This window comes from Homo sapiens, chromosome 3 (genome assembly GCF_000001405.40).
Source record: "Homo sapiens chromosome 3, GRCh38.p14 Primary Assembly".
Taxonomy (NCBI): domain Eukaryota; kingdom Metazoa; phylum Chordata; class Mammalia; order Primates; family Hominidae; genus Homo; species Homo sapiens.
This window is the reverse complement of record NC_000003.12, coordinates 52,660,570-52,674,825: the sequence shown is the minus strand read 5'-3', so window position 1 is coordinate 52,674,825 and position 14,256 is coordinate 52,660,570. Positions and strand designations below refer to the sequence as shown.

Here is a 14,256-nt window from a genome sequence, read left to right as displayed (position 1 = left end):
TATGTATATAGTAAACACATAAAATATATATATTGTATATATAACGTATTTTTTATTTATATATGTAAAAATATGCTGGATTCTTACCTAACGCTACATACATATTAAAAAATAACGTATGTAATGTTAGGTAAGGAGATATATGTGTGTGTGTGTGTGTATATATATATATATATATATATTTTTTTTTTTTTTTTTGGTAGAGACAGGGTTTCCCTGTGTTGCCCAGGCTGGTCTCAAACTCCTGGGCTCAAGTGATCCTCCTACCTTGGCCTCCCGAAGTGCTAGGATCACAAGTGTGAGCCACCACACCCAGCCTCTCTCTCTCTTTTTTTTTTTTTTTTTTGAGATGGAGTTTCGCACCAGGCTGGAGTGCAGTGGTGCGATCTCGATTGTGGCTCACCACAACCTCCGTTTCCCAGGTTCAAGCGATTCTCCTGCCCCAGCTTCCCGAGTAGCTGGGATTACAGGCATGGGCCACCACGCCCAGCTAATTTTGTATTTTTAGTAGAGACAGGGTTTCTCTATGTTGGTCAGGCTGGTCTCAAACTCCCGACCTTAGGTGATCCGCCTACCTTGGCCTTCCAAAGTGCTGGCATTACAGGCGTGAGCCACCGTGCTCAGCTCTTTCTTTCTTAGTTAATCTAGCTAAGTGTTTACCAATTTTGTTGATCTTTTAAAAAAACCAACTGTTTAATTTTTAAAATTGTTTTTCTATTCTCTAATTTCGTTTATCTGCATTCTATATATATATCTATATATATATTTTTTTTTTGAGACAGTGTCTTGCTCTGTTGCCCAGGCTGGAGTGCAGTGGCGTGATCATGGCTTATTGCAGCCTCTGCCTTCCAGGTTCAAGTGATTCTTATGCTTCAGCCTCCCAAGTAGCTGGGATTACAGGCGTGTGCCACCATGCCTGGCTAATTTTTGTATTTTTAGTAGAGATAGGGTTTCACTTTGTTGCCCAGGCTGGTCTTAAACTCTTGACCTCAAGTGATCTGTCCACCTCATCCTCCCAAAGTGCTGGGATTATAGGCATGAACTACTGCACTGGCCCTCCTTTCTATTTATTATCTACTGCTAGCTTTGGGTTTAGTTTGCTCTTCTTTTCTCTAATTCCTTGAGAAAGAAGCTTTTTTTTTTTTTTTTTTTTTGAGATGGAGTCCCACTCTGTTGCCCAGGCTGGAGTGCAGTGGCACAGTCTTGGCTCACTGCAACTTCCACCTCCTGGGTTCAAGCAATTGTCCTGCCTCAGCCTCCCGAGTAGCTGGGATTACAGGCATACACCACTATGCCTGGCTAATTTTTTTTGTACTTTTAGTAGAGACGGAGTTTTGCCATATTGGCCAGGCAGGTCTCGAACTCCTGACCTCAGGTGATCCACCCGCCTCAGCCTCCCAAAGTGCTGGGATTACAGGCATGAGCCACTGCACCTGGCCGAGAGTGAAGCATGTTTTTTAAATTATTTAATTTTTTTGTTTCATTTTGTTTTTTAACACCTGGTTCACATAGGCAGTATAAAAATTAATAGTTCTTATGGCTGGGCGCGGTGGCTCATGCCTGTAATCCCATCACTTTGGGAGGCTGAGGCGGGTGGATCACTTGAGGTCAGGAGTTCGAGACCAGCCTGGCCAACATAGTGAAACCCTGTCTCTACTAAAAATGCAAAAATTAGCCGGGCGTGGTGGTGGGTGCCTGTAATCCCAGCCACTTGGGAGGCTGAGGTGGGAGAATTGCTTGAACCCGGGAGGCGGAGGTTGCAGTGAGCTGAGATTGCACCATTGCACTCCAGCCTGGACAATAAGAGCAAAACTCCGTCTCAAAAAAATTAAAAATTAATAAAAAAAATTAATAGCTCTTAAGACTGTATTGAAGTTGTCACAGTGATAGTTAAAAGGGATCAGTTTTTTAAATTACACAGAGAGGCATCTTGCACACAACTTCCTATGGAAGGTATGTTCCCCTAACTAGAACATCTTTCCTCTCTTGCTGTCAAAATATAATCACTATTCTCTTCAAAACTCTGGCAATTGGCCAGGCGTGGTGGCTCATGCCTGTAATCCCAACACTTTGGGAGGCCGAGACAGGTGGATCACCTGAGTGCAGGAGTTCGAGACCAGCCTGACCAACATGGAGAAAGCCCATCTCTACTAAAAATACAAAATTAGCCGGGCGTGGTGGTGTGCACCTATAATCTCAGCTACTCGGGAGGCTGAGGCAGGAGAATCACTTGAACCCAGGAGGCAGAGGTTGCAGTGTGCGGAGATAACGCTGTTGCACTCCAGCCTGGGCAACAAGAGTGAAACTCTGACTCAAAAAAAAAAAAAAAAAAAAGCCAAAAAAAAACCTCTGGAAATTGAAGTTATTTGTTCTGAAAACGTATATGAGTGTGTTAGTCAGAAAACTGGTGCCCAAATATTTCCACATTCTAATCCCTGAAACCTGTGAATATATTGTGTTACATGGCAGAGGGGAATTAAGTTTGCTAATCAGCTGATCTTGAATTGGAGCGGTTATCCTGGATTATCCATGTGGGTCCAGTGTAATCACAAGGGTCCTTAAATGGGGAAGAGGGAGACAAGTTCAGTCAGAGATTTGAAGATGCTGTAGTGCTGGCTTTGAAGATGGAGGAAGGAGACTACAAGCCAAGGGATGCAGGTGAGCTCTAGAAGCTGAAAAAGGCAAGGAAACCTTTTTCGCTAGATGCTCCGTACTAGAACATCCAGACGGCATGCAGCCCTGCTAATACCTTGATTTTAGACCAGTGAGACCCATTTTGGACTTCTGACCTCTAGAACTAATATAATAAATGGGTTTTGTTTTAAGCCCTGAAGTTTGTGGTAATTTGTTACAGCAGCTGTAGAAAGCTGTGAGTTAACTAAAGATTTAGATTCATTCATGATTGTTGATGCTACAGTGGGTAGTTACCAAGCTCTAAGTTGAACTGGAGGCAAATTTCTCACCTCAACGAGCAAGCCACTGAGAATGCAGTGTCATCATCCTGAATTAGGAGAGCCCTGTAAATTAGCAAATTAGCCATGGCCAAAAAGGAAGCATTGTTTTTAAAATGAGGTAACTGTCTCCATATTTGAGTTGGTTTATCAATAATAGTCTTCTGAAAGTTGTCATTTAATTAGCATAAAGTAGTAAAAGCATGTATTTATTGTTTGCCACATTCTAGACACAATACCAAGCATTTTCCCAATCATATCTTATTTAAAATTCTGAGTTATCACAGTTTATAGGTGAGAACTTGCACAAGTTCTTGTAACTACTAAAAGATAACTGGTGTTCAGACTAAAGTCGTTCTGACTCCAAAGCCTGTGCTCTTAACCATTATGTGGTATAGAGTAGCAGCATCACACTGAAGTATACAAAACAACTTTTATAGAAGATACCGTCCCTCTGCTGCCTCCTTTTTGCTGGCAGGCGAGTGCTGAGGGGCAGAGGATACACACCTTGGGTGCTGGACCACTGTCATGTTACAACCTCGAAGATAATGGTGCCTTTTTTCTGACGCTCCTCTGTGGAATGTATGTTTTTTTCTCAAGTATTTATGAGAATTAGTATTGCTCAGAGCTACACAATTTGTGAATATCTTTTTGATACTTTGTTTCAGTTACTGTATTAGTCTGCTTTGTGCTAGGACATGCAAATCAACAATGGCTGAAACAAAAGAGAAATTTATTTCTCTTGTGTAAAAGTCCTGTTCTGTGAAGTTGTCAAGGTACAAGTATTAGCCAACTCTATTCTGCGGTCTTTGTGGTATCACCCTTGCCTGCATGGTCTGAGATGACTCACTACCACAACTGCCTTCCAGCCAGTATGGAAAAAGAATGAATGTTAAGGACATGACTTGGATATGACACACTTCAGCTCTCGTATTGGCTAGAATCTAGCTGCAGTGAGGCTGGAGAATAAATATGGTCTTTAAGGTTTTGTTTTGCTTTGTTTTCCTTAGAGACGAGGTTTTACCATGTCACATAGGCTGGAATGCAGGCTACTCACCAGCACCATCTTTGCACACTACAGCCTTGACCTCCTGGGCTCAAGCAGTCCTCCCTCAGCCTCCCAAGTAGCTGGGACTACAGGCATGCAACACCATGCTGGCTGAGAATATAGTCTTTAGTAGCCATGCAGCAGCTTAGAATGCTGTCATCCTGGGAAGAAGGGAAAATGGGGTAGGGAGTAGCCGGCAGGCTGTCTGCACACCAGGGCTAGTGTTTCTCATTATTCTGATTAAAACTTTGCATTTTGGTTATTTTGCAGCCATATGCCAGACTGCCCTCATCTATTGTTGAAAGAGAAAAGTTGTTTTGAAAGAACATACAATATAATCCTGTTTATGTTAAATTTGGTTTGTGTGTACATGTGCCTATAGAGAAGTCTGGAAGAATGTCTATAAAAATGCAAATGGTGCTATTTATTCTGGATTATAAGGATGATTCTTACTTTTGATGGTTTTCTGTATGTTTGATTTCAGAAAAAATTAGTACTGTTAGAAATTAGAAGTATTTCATTTTGAAATGGGGGGACCCTGTTTTGACCATATGACATAGAGTGAGAGGTTGGGATCCTGATTTTTCTTTTGTCTTTGTGGTAATTCTAAAAATGTTTGTGAGGAACCTTGTAGCAGTGATTCTGGGGGATAGTGTCCTTTCTAGGCACATGTTCTCATTGAATTCTCAATTGTCTACAGATAGTCCCCTTAGCTTGAGACACTGCTGGGGTCCTGCCTCAGCAAGGAGCACTGGACTGTGGGTCCTGTAGGCCCAGATGGAGAGGACCATCTTGGATATTAAGTTATCAGAGCCCTAATGTGTGCTGTGAGAAGGTTCCTTGATACCACTGACAACATCAGTATTCTTTCTGCTTTTTCTCTGATTTCTCAATATTCTGATTTTTTTGGTTGAAAAGAGTTCCCATATAAGTGGACCTGCACAGTTCAGTGGTCAACTGTACTGTATTAACATTCACTTCCTGGTTTTGATGGTTGAGTTGTGGTCCTTATTTGTGAGAAACAAACACTAAATTATCAGGCGTGATGGGGCATCATGTCAGAGCTTATTCAAATGGTTCAGAAAAAAAGTACTATTTTTGCAACTTTTATGTCAGAATACAAATTTAAAAATAATTTAAATATATTATACGTAATAAAAGAATGGCTATAACCTGTCAGCTAAGGTTCCAAGAGAGATTTAAGCCTTAATCGCCATGATGTTATTTGTAATAACTTATCTCTTACACATCTAGAATGGGGCTGAATACCTACCCCTGTGGGAGAATTGAGAAAATAGTCACATCGTTTTTCAGTAGGTTTACTTGTCTCCTGGAACTTCATTTGAAGAAAGCCAGAAAAAATACTAAACATCCATGAACCCTAAACCCAAGAAGTTATTTTGGGAACTTAAGAAATTGTCATTAAAATTACTTAAGGAATTAAAGAAGGAAATTACTTAATTATTTTAAGAAATTTTGTCATTATAATTACCTACAAAGTTTCTTGTGTGTTCCTCACTACCCCTCTCCTGCAAGGTATAACCACTAAGCCAAATTTTGTATTTCTTAGTCCCATGGTTTTTTTTTTCCGAAGAGTTTGGTTGTGTTTAGATGTATCTGATGTCCATTCATCTTTGTTAAGCTACGTAAGCCAAGGGCTCATCTTCCTCCCTTGTAATTTTAGTAATTGCTATTGTAGCAGCATTTATGATAGGCATTTGATAGTACTTGGCAGAAAAAATTTATGTGGTCACTTACTGAAGAAAGAATCTGTTTTGTAAGTTTATAAAGAGTATTGAGACATATCTCTGTTTTCACACTTTTGAGCACTATGAAAGGTAAGTCATCTTCATTTATAAAGGATACCATTGACATGGGTTTAGCGTTGGTGCCCTAAACATTAAACAGTTAGCATATAAAAGACCATCACAGGTGTTAATTTAGGTTTTTATATCATTAACGTATGTTTTGAAAAGGGAATGAGTGTGCATCTTGCTTTTCTTTTTCTTTTTTTGCAGATTTTTTTCTTTTTTTTTTTTTTTTAAGTAAGCTTCAAAGTCCATGAAAGATTCTAATATGCTCTGTCACTTGGAATGTTGAACATTACCATAAATAGTTTTGAAATAAAACTTTTTGTAAGCTTCAGATTAATCTCCTTTAAAAAAATTTAAATTATAACAGAAATCAACCAGACTATTATGAAGTGGTTTCTCAGCCCATTGACTTGATGAAAATCCAACAGAAACTAAAAATGGAAGAGTATGATGATGTTAATTTGCTGACTGCTGACTTCCAGCTTCTTTTTAACAATGCAAAGTCCTATTATAAGGTAAGAAATTATGAAATTTGGAAAGATACCAATTGGAAGATACCAATTTGATAATTGGCTTCTTAATATTTATAAACCTGGCAGGTGAGTAGTAGTTTCTTTTTGTGGCTTGAGTTCGCATTTGTCTTATTCGTAAAGAGACTGGACATTCATATGATTTTTATTTCTTATTTATTTACGTATTTTAATTTATTATCTTTTGAGACAGGGTCTTGCTCTGTTACACGGGCTGGAGTGCAGTGGTGAGATCTTGGCTCATGGCAGCCTCCGCCTCCCAGGTTCAAGCAATCCTCCCACCTCACCCTTCTGAGTAGCTGGCACTATAGGCACGTGCCACCATGCCCAGCTAATTTTTGCATGTTTTGTAGAGACCAGGGTTTCACCATGTTGCCCAGGCTGGTCTTGAACTCCTGGGCTCAAGCAATCTGCCTGCCTTGGCCTCCCAAAGTGCAGGGATTATGGGCGTGAGCCACTGTGCCCAACCCACATTCATGTGATTATGAACTATTCTTATTTCTCTGTCTGCTCAAATCTTTTGCCCATTTTTCTCTTGGTTTGTTAGTCATTTTCATATTTCTGGAATTTTTTTTTCTTTTTTTTTTTAGAGACAGAGTCTCCCTATGTTACTCAGGCTGGTCTCAAACTCCTGGCCTCAAGTGATCCTCCTGCCTCAGCCTCATGAGTAGCTGGGACTACAGACATGAGCCACCACTCCTGGCTTTAGAAATTTTTTTTTTTTTTTTTTTTTTTTGAGGCAAAGTCTATTGCCCAGGCTAGAGTGCAGTGGCACGATCTCAGCTCACTGCAACCTCTTCTTCCCAGGTTCAAGTGATTCTCCTGCTTCAGCCTCCTGAGTAGCTGGGATTACAGGTGCCCACCACCATGCCTGGCTAATTTTTGTATTTTTAGTGGAGATGGGGTTTCACCATGTTGGCCAGGCTAGTCTTGAACTCCTGACCTCAAGTGATCCACCCACCTTGGCCTCCCAAAGTGCTGGGACAACAGGCGTGAGCGACCATGCCTGGCCATAGAAATTTTTTAATTATTGTGGATAGTAAACCTTTTTTGATTATATGTGTTTCAGTTTTTTTATTTTTTTTATTTGATTTTGTGTGTTTCAAATATCTTCTCCCACTGTGTGCATATCTTTTCACCTTTCATGGTATTTTTTGATGAACAGAAATGTTTTATTTTAGTTTAATCAAATTTATCAATCTTTAAATTGGGTTTATTTGTATCTTGTTTCAGAGATTCCTCTTGCCCAAGATATTCTTCTATTAGTATGCTTTTCTTAAAGTTTTATAGTTTTGTCTTTCATATAAGCCTTTAATGCAGCTAGGATTGATTTTTGTCTTTTATAAGGTAGGAATAAATGCAGCTGGGATTGATTTTTGTCTTTTATAAGGTAGGAATCAATTTTTTTCCCACAGGTATAACCAACACTATTCTCTCTGCGTTTGTTCGCAATCGTTGCTGTCATCATTTCCATGTATTCATGGATCTGTTTCTGTCCTTTTATTCTGTTCCACAGGCCAGTTTATCTGTTACTAGGCCGTTCTATTTCTATCTTAATTACTTTGGCTTTATAATTTTTTTTTTTTTTTTTTGAGACACGATCTCCTTTGTTGCCCAGGCTGGAGTGCAGTGGTGTGATCTTGGCTCACTACAGCCCTTGTCTCCTGGGCTCAAGCAATCTTCCCACCTTAGCCTCCTGATTAGCTGGGACTACAGGTGCGCACCATCACACATGGCTAATTTTTTGTATTTTTGATAGAGACGGGATTTCACCGTGTTGCCCAGGCTAGTCTTGAACTCCTGGGCTCAAGCGATTGACCCGCCTCGGTCTCCCAAGTGCTGGGATTACAGGCATGAACCACCATGCCCAGCTTGCTTTATACTTCTTTTTCTGGTTAGAAAGTAGGTTAATTATACTTGACCCTTTGCCATTTCTTTTTTTTTTTTGAGATGGAGTCTCGCTCTGTTGCCCAGGCTGGAGTGCAGTGGCGCGATCTCGGCTCACTGCAAGCTCTGCCTTCCAGGTTCACGCCATTCTCCTGCCTCAGCCTCCCGAGTAGCTGGGATTATAGGCACCCACCATCATGCCTGGCTAATTTTTGTATTTTTACGTGGTTTTGCCATGTTGGCCAGGCTGGTCCTGAACTCCTGACCTCAGGTGATCTGCCTGCCTCGGCCTCCCAAAAGTGCTAGGATTACAGGCGTGAGCCACCATGCCTGGCCTTATTTTTAAGAGATGAGGTCTCATTAAGTTGCCGAGGCCAGAATCAAACTCCTGGACTTAAGCAGTCATCCCACCTCAGCCTACCAGGTAGCTAGGACTGCAGGTACACACCACCTTGCTCAGTTTATTTTACTCTTCAGTGCATTTTGTTATTTTTTTCTCTATGCCTTCTTTTGATTTCATTTTTTTCAAAACTTTTTTCCTCTTATTACCTCTAAAATTTGGAAATTGTAACATCTATAGATAATCTTTTAGTTCTTATCTAAGAAGTTTTAATATGCATAATTAACTTATTCAAAGCCAGAAGCTAATCAGGATCTTAATCCTCCAAACAATACGAAGACTTTAGAATAATTCAACTCTGATCACTCTTTTCCTTATTTATAATGCTGGTGCTGTGTACTTTAGTTCTTTTGTGGCAATTTTTGAATCTGATAGAACAGTGGTCCCCAAGCTTTTTGGCACCAGGGACCAGTTTTGCGGAAGACAATTCTTCCATGGACAGCAGTGGATGTAGGGGGCAGGGTCAGGATGAAACTCTTCCTTCTCATGTCATCAGGCATTAGATTCTTATAAGGAGCTCACAGCCTAGATCTCTTGCATGCTCAGTTCACAATAGGGTTCACACTCCTATGAGAATCTAATGCCACTGCTGATGTGACAGGAGGAGCTCAGGCGATAATGCTGTCTTGCCTGCTGCTCACCTCCTGCTGTGCGGCCCAGTTCCAAACAGGCCATGGACTGGTAGTTGTTCGTGGGCTGGGGGTTGGGGACCCCTGCCATAAAATACTATTCAGCCAGGCATGATGGCTCATGCCTATAATCCCAGCGCTTTGGGAGGTTGAGGCAGGAGGATTGCTTGAAGCCAAGAGTGTGAAACCAGCCTAGGCAGTGTACTAAGACCCCACCTCTACAAAAAAAAAAAAAATTGTTTTAATTGGCTGAGCATGGTGACGTGCACCAGTAGTCCCAGCTACTTGAGGGGCTGAGGTGGAAGGATCATTTGAGCCCAAGAGTTCAAGGCCGTAATGTGCTATGATCATGCCACTGCACTTCAGCCTGGGCAACAGTGAGATCCTGTCTTTAAAAACAATAATAATAATAATATTGATTTGTGGAGTCAGTACCATTCATTATTACTACTTTCTTTATTCTTCATTCCATTTTGCTATTGAGAAGTCATCCGCCAGTATGATTGTAGTTCCTTTAAAGGTTATCTGTCTTTTCTTTTCTGGCTGTCTTTAGTATCCTTTTCTCTTTTGTATTTTGTAGTTTCATTGTGATATATTTAGATGTGGATATCTTTATAGAATTTGCGAGTAGTAATGCTTCATAAATCTTAGATTGGTGTTTCTCATCATCTTTGGAAAGTTTTTAGCCATGTCTTTGCATTTTGCCTTTGCCCTGTTCTTGTAGTAACTCTGATTGGGTGTCATATTAGACTTCCCACAGGTCTCCATTTCTCTTAACTTTTCATATTTCCTGCTTTTGTGTCTGTGTTTCCTTTTTTTTTCTTTTTTTTTTTGTGATAGAGTCTGGCTCTGATGCCCAGGCTGGAGTGCAGTGGTGTGATCTTGGCTCACTGCTTCCTCTGCCTCCTGGGTTGAAGCGATTCTCCTGCCTCAGCCCCTGAGTAGCTGGGATTACAGGCGCCTGCCACCATGCCCGGCTAATTTTTGTATTTTAGTAGAGACAGGGTTTCACCACGTTGGCCAGGCTGGACTTGAACTCCCGACCTCAGGTGATCCACTCGCCTCAGCCTCCCAAAGTGCTGGGATTACAGGCGTGAGCCACCGCGCCCAGCGTCTGTGTTGCTTTTTAGATAATCTTTTTTTTTTTTTTTTTTCAGTTCTTTCAATTTTCTTGGTGAAATCTCTTAAATTAGTTAAATATAAATTTAGTATTTGCATTTTAATTTTTCTACATATAGGAAGTAGCGTCTTTTTTAGAGTCTGTAGGACTTTGCTCATTGTTTTCAAACTCATTGTTTCTTTAAACTTTTTATTTATTTATTTATTTTTTTAAAGAGAGAAAGTCTTGCTCTGTCACCCAGGCTGGAGTGCACTGGCTATTCACAGGCACAGTTGTAGCTCACTGCAGCCTTAAACTCCTGGGCTTAAGTTATCCTCCTGCCTCAGCCACCTAAGTAGCTAGGACTACAGGTGTGCGCCACCGTGCCCAACTTTTTTTTTTTTTTTTGAGACGGAGTCTGGCTTTGTCACCCAGGCTGGAGTTCAGTGGCGCTATCTCGGCTTACTGCAAGCTCCGCCTCCCCGGTTCACGCCATTCTCCTGCCTCAGCCTCCCAAGTAGCTGGGACTACAGGCACCCACCACCACACCCAGCTAATTTTTTTGTATTTTCAGTAGAGATGAGGTTTCACTGTGTTAGCCAGGATGGTCTTAATCTTCTGACCCCATGATCCCCCTGCTTCAGCCTCCCAAAGTGGTGGGATTACAGGCGTGAGCCACCACGCCTGGCCACCATGCCCAACTTTTAAACATTTTTAACACACCTGTTTTTTATTCTATGGTAGATTATTCTGATAATCTAATTATTTGAATTCCAATATCTAATACATATATTTGTTGTCACTGTCATTTTTGCTAGCTTTCTCGTGATTCTTTGATTCTTATGTGCCTCATGATTTTTTTACTATGGACTCAATATTTCTTGGAACTTTATCTGTAGAGATCATTGGAGCATTAAATTGAAGTTGGTTTCATCCAGAAATGATTTGTTTCTTGTCCAGGATGACTGGCCTGTCTTTGTTAAGGCTAACTTTACGATGAAGAGTTCTCAGAGATTCATTTCATGCCTCTCCTCTCCTCTCAGTGCCATGGTTTGAGATAGGCATGAATTTAGATAGGTAGAGGTTGAGATGGGCAGTCGTCCTTGCTCCCTGGCAGTACAGAAACTGATTTGAGTTCCCACTAATGGTGCAGCCATGGCCTTTGGATTCCCAGCTTCTGGTAGACCCTGACCTTTGTCTTCCCTCCTCGCTGCCCAGAGAAGCCTTGGAAATGAAAGCTTGGTTTTATCATAAATAAATGCCCTCAAAGTGAACATTTGACTTAAGTGTTGTGGGTTTTCATCTGGTTTCCTACTTTTATTCCTTTAATTTTGTGAACATCCTTACTTCCTATTGGCATCCCATGTATGCATTTTTAAAGTTTTATTTTATTTTTTGAACATTGCATCCAACGTTGTTTTTACTAGAAGATTTCAGTCAAGAGTTTATTATGCCCACTATACTTCATGAGCAGACATTTTGAAACAAGGTATTAAAGAATTTCAAACCACAAGTATTAATAACATCAGAACCGTCATTAGCTTCTATCCTTTAAATCAAATCTTATCCTTTAAGTTGTCTTTCTTAGTGTATTAGTAATAATTAGTTTTTTTGGGTTTTTTGGTGTTTTTTTTTTTTTTTTTAAGACAGAGTCTTGCTCTGTCACCAGGCTGGAGTGCAGTGGCGCAATCTCGGCTCACTGCAACCTCTGCCTCTCTGGTTCAAGTGATTCTCCTGCCTCAGCCTCCCAAGTAGCTGGGACCACAGGTGCGTACCACCACGCCCAGCTAATTTTTGTATTTTTAGTAGAGACGGGGTTTCACCATGTTGGCCAGGATGGTCTCGATCTCTTGACCTCATGATCCACCTGCCTTGGCCTCCCAAAGTGCTGGGATTACAGGCATGAGCCACTGTGCCCGGTCATAATTACTTTTAATTTAGCAAATCATTTGTCTTCTGCCTCAAGTCTTTCTTTAATGAGATAAGACCTAAATAATTTGATTTCAGAATGTCTTTAAAACATACACTTAATTTTTTGGAAGCGGGATTTGGACCCATATATGTTTTAATCATGAGGATGTTAAAATTTGTAACAATTTTTGGTCTTTGCTGAAACAGGTGCTTTAAAAGTAGCAACTAATTTCCAATACATTACTAAAGTGTTTTTTTTTTTCTCTTTGCTAACATACAGCCAGATTCTCCTGAATATAAAGCCGCTTGCAAACTCTGGGATTTGTACCTTCGAACAAGAAATGAGTTTGTTCAGAAAGGAGAAGCAGATGACGAAGATGATGATGAAGATGGGCAAGACAATCAGGGCACAGTGACTGAAGGAGTAAGTGTGTAGCTGGAACTTGTGATGGATGGGCTCTTGGAAGGCAGAGAGGGCCCCTGCTTGTGATTCCCTCTGGGCTGTTGTGGGCAACTAGAATTCCTGTGCAATTGTATTGGTAACTGGGAGGATAAAAGGACATTCAGCCAGAGAGCCCCACTCCATTTTTAAGGGATCCTAGGATATCCTGGACAACGTGTGCCATGTGTGGTAATTTTCATGAATTGTACTTACATTAATGCATATTTCCTGCTCAGTTTTAAAGAGAATCTTGATATTATCAAGGATTAGTCCAGTATTGCTACATTGAGACATCATGTAAGGAAAGGCAGTGTTGTGATTAGAAGTTGGAATGTAATCACCTTAGTGAGGAATATTTCTGTAGGTTAGAATAGTTACTGTTCCTAGAACCTCCCAGGTGTGTTTCTGCCTCTGGAATTTTGCAGTTGTTCTTCTGCATAGAAAGTGCTTCCTTTGACTTTTCCCGTGACTGGCTCTTTTTTATTGTTCTAACACCATCTAAAATGGTGTCTACTGAGACAGGACTTTCCTGACCACCCTATCTCCATTGTTTGCTCCGCCTTCCTCCTTTTCAGCCCCTACCCCACCCTGTCATCACAGGGTTGTCTTCAGTTTTTATAATGTCACTATATGTGAAATAACATACTAGTTTACATGTTTTTCTCTCTTTCCCCAAGTAGAATGATAGCTCCTAAGCAGGTATCTTTTTGTTCATTTATTCCTCATATCTGCACTATACCTGACATGTAGGTGCTGATAAATATTTACTAAATAAAGACACATGCTTCATGGCCAGGCGAGGTGGCTCACACCTGTAATCCCAGCACTTTGGGAGGCCAAGGCGGGAGGATCACTTGAGGTTAGGAGTTCAAGAACAGCCTGACCAACATGGTAAAACCCTGTCTCTACCAAAAATACAAAAATTAGCTAGGCAGGTGGCACATGCCTGTAATCCCAGCTACTCTGGAGGCTGAGGCAGGATAATCGCTTGAACCCAGGAGGTGGAGGGTGCAGTGAGCCGAGATGGCGCCACTGTACTCCAGACTGGGCGACAGAATGAGACTCCATCTCAAAAAAAAATGAAAGACAGAAAATAAAAAGACATGTTTGAAAAGAGAAAAAAGAATAGTAGAGGGGATCACAACTCTTTTCTACAGCTAAATTGTGAGAAGCACATTGCAGAATATTCCCCTTTCTTCTGTAACTTATCTACATAGGCCTTTTGCTGGAATACAGAGAAGCAGTGATGGGTGAATTTCTCAAAAATACAATTACTTCTTAGAGTCTCAAAATACAGTTCCTAGTCAGGTGCTGTGGCTCACCCCTGTAATCCCAGCACTTTGGGAGGCCAAGGCAGGCAGATCACCTGAGGTCAGGAGTTTGAGACCAGCCTGGCCAACATGGTGAAACCCCATTTCTACTAAAAATACAAAAATTAGCTGGGCATGGTGGTGGGCACCTGTAATCCCTGCTACTCGGGAGGCTGAGGCAGGAGAATCGCTTGAACCCGGGAGGCAGAGGTTGCAATGAGCTGAGATCATGCCA

At 41.0% G+C, this 14,256-nt stretch overlaps 1 protein-coding gene across 171 annotated transcripts in view, besides 3 other annotated features; it reads left to right on the top strand.

The window, feature by feature from the left end:
* PBRM1 (polybromo 1) overlaps positions 1-14,256 on the top strand; it is a 140,547-nt gene that overhangs the window by 11,088 nt on the left and 115,203 nt on the right. For 170 of the 171 annotated variants that reach the window (NR_175959.1, NR_174502.1, NM_001405585.1 and 167 more), the window contains 2 exons: positions 6,181-6,328; positions 12,550-12,693. Coding sequence is in view for 165 of the 171 variants with exons in the window: in NM_001405585.1 (NP_001392514.1) it covers positions 6,181-6,328; positions 12,550-12,693 (292 nt within the window). In the remaining 6 variants the exon portion in view is untranslated. The remainder of the gene's footprint in view (positions 1-6,180; positions 6,329-12,549; positions 12,694-14,256) is intronic. The other variant, NM_001405587.1, reaches the window with a different exon arrangement.
* Positions 3,369-3,538: an enhancer, noted in NCBI's record as "active region_19944". NCBI's record gives its function as "activates an Ori minimal core promoter by ATAC-STARR-seq in GM12878 lymphoblastoid cells {active_cell/tissue: GM12878}" and the evidence as "EXISTENCE:reporter gene assay evidence [ECO:0000049][PMID:35858748]".
* Positions 7,918-8,417: an enhancer, noted in NCBI's record as "H3K27ac hESC enhancer chr3:52700425-52700924 (GRCh37/hg19 assembly coordinates)". NCBI's record gives its function as "activates a minimal SCP1, AML or CMV promoter by ChIP-STARR-seq in naive H9 embryonic stem cells {active_cell/tissue: H9 hESC(naive)}" and the evidence as "EXISTENCE:reporter gene assay evidence [ECO:0000049][PMID:30033119]".
* Positions 8,418-8,919: an enhancer, noted in NCBI's record as "H3K27ac hESC enhancer chr3:52699923-52700424 (GRCh37/hg19 assembly coordinates)". NCBI's record gives its function as "activates a minimal SCP1, AML or CMV promoter by ChIP-STARR-seq in naive H9 embryonic stem cells {active_cell/tissue: H9 hESC(naive)}" and the evidence as "EXISTENCE:reporter gene assay evidence [ECO:0000049][PMID:30033119]".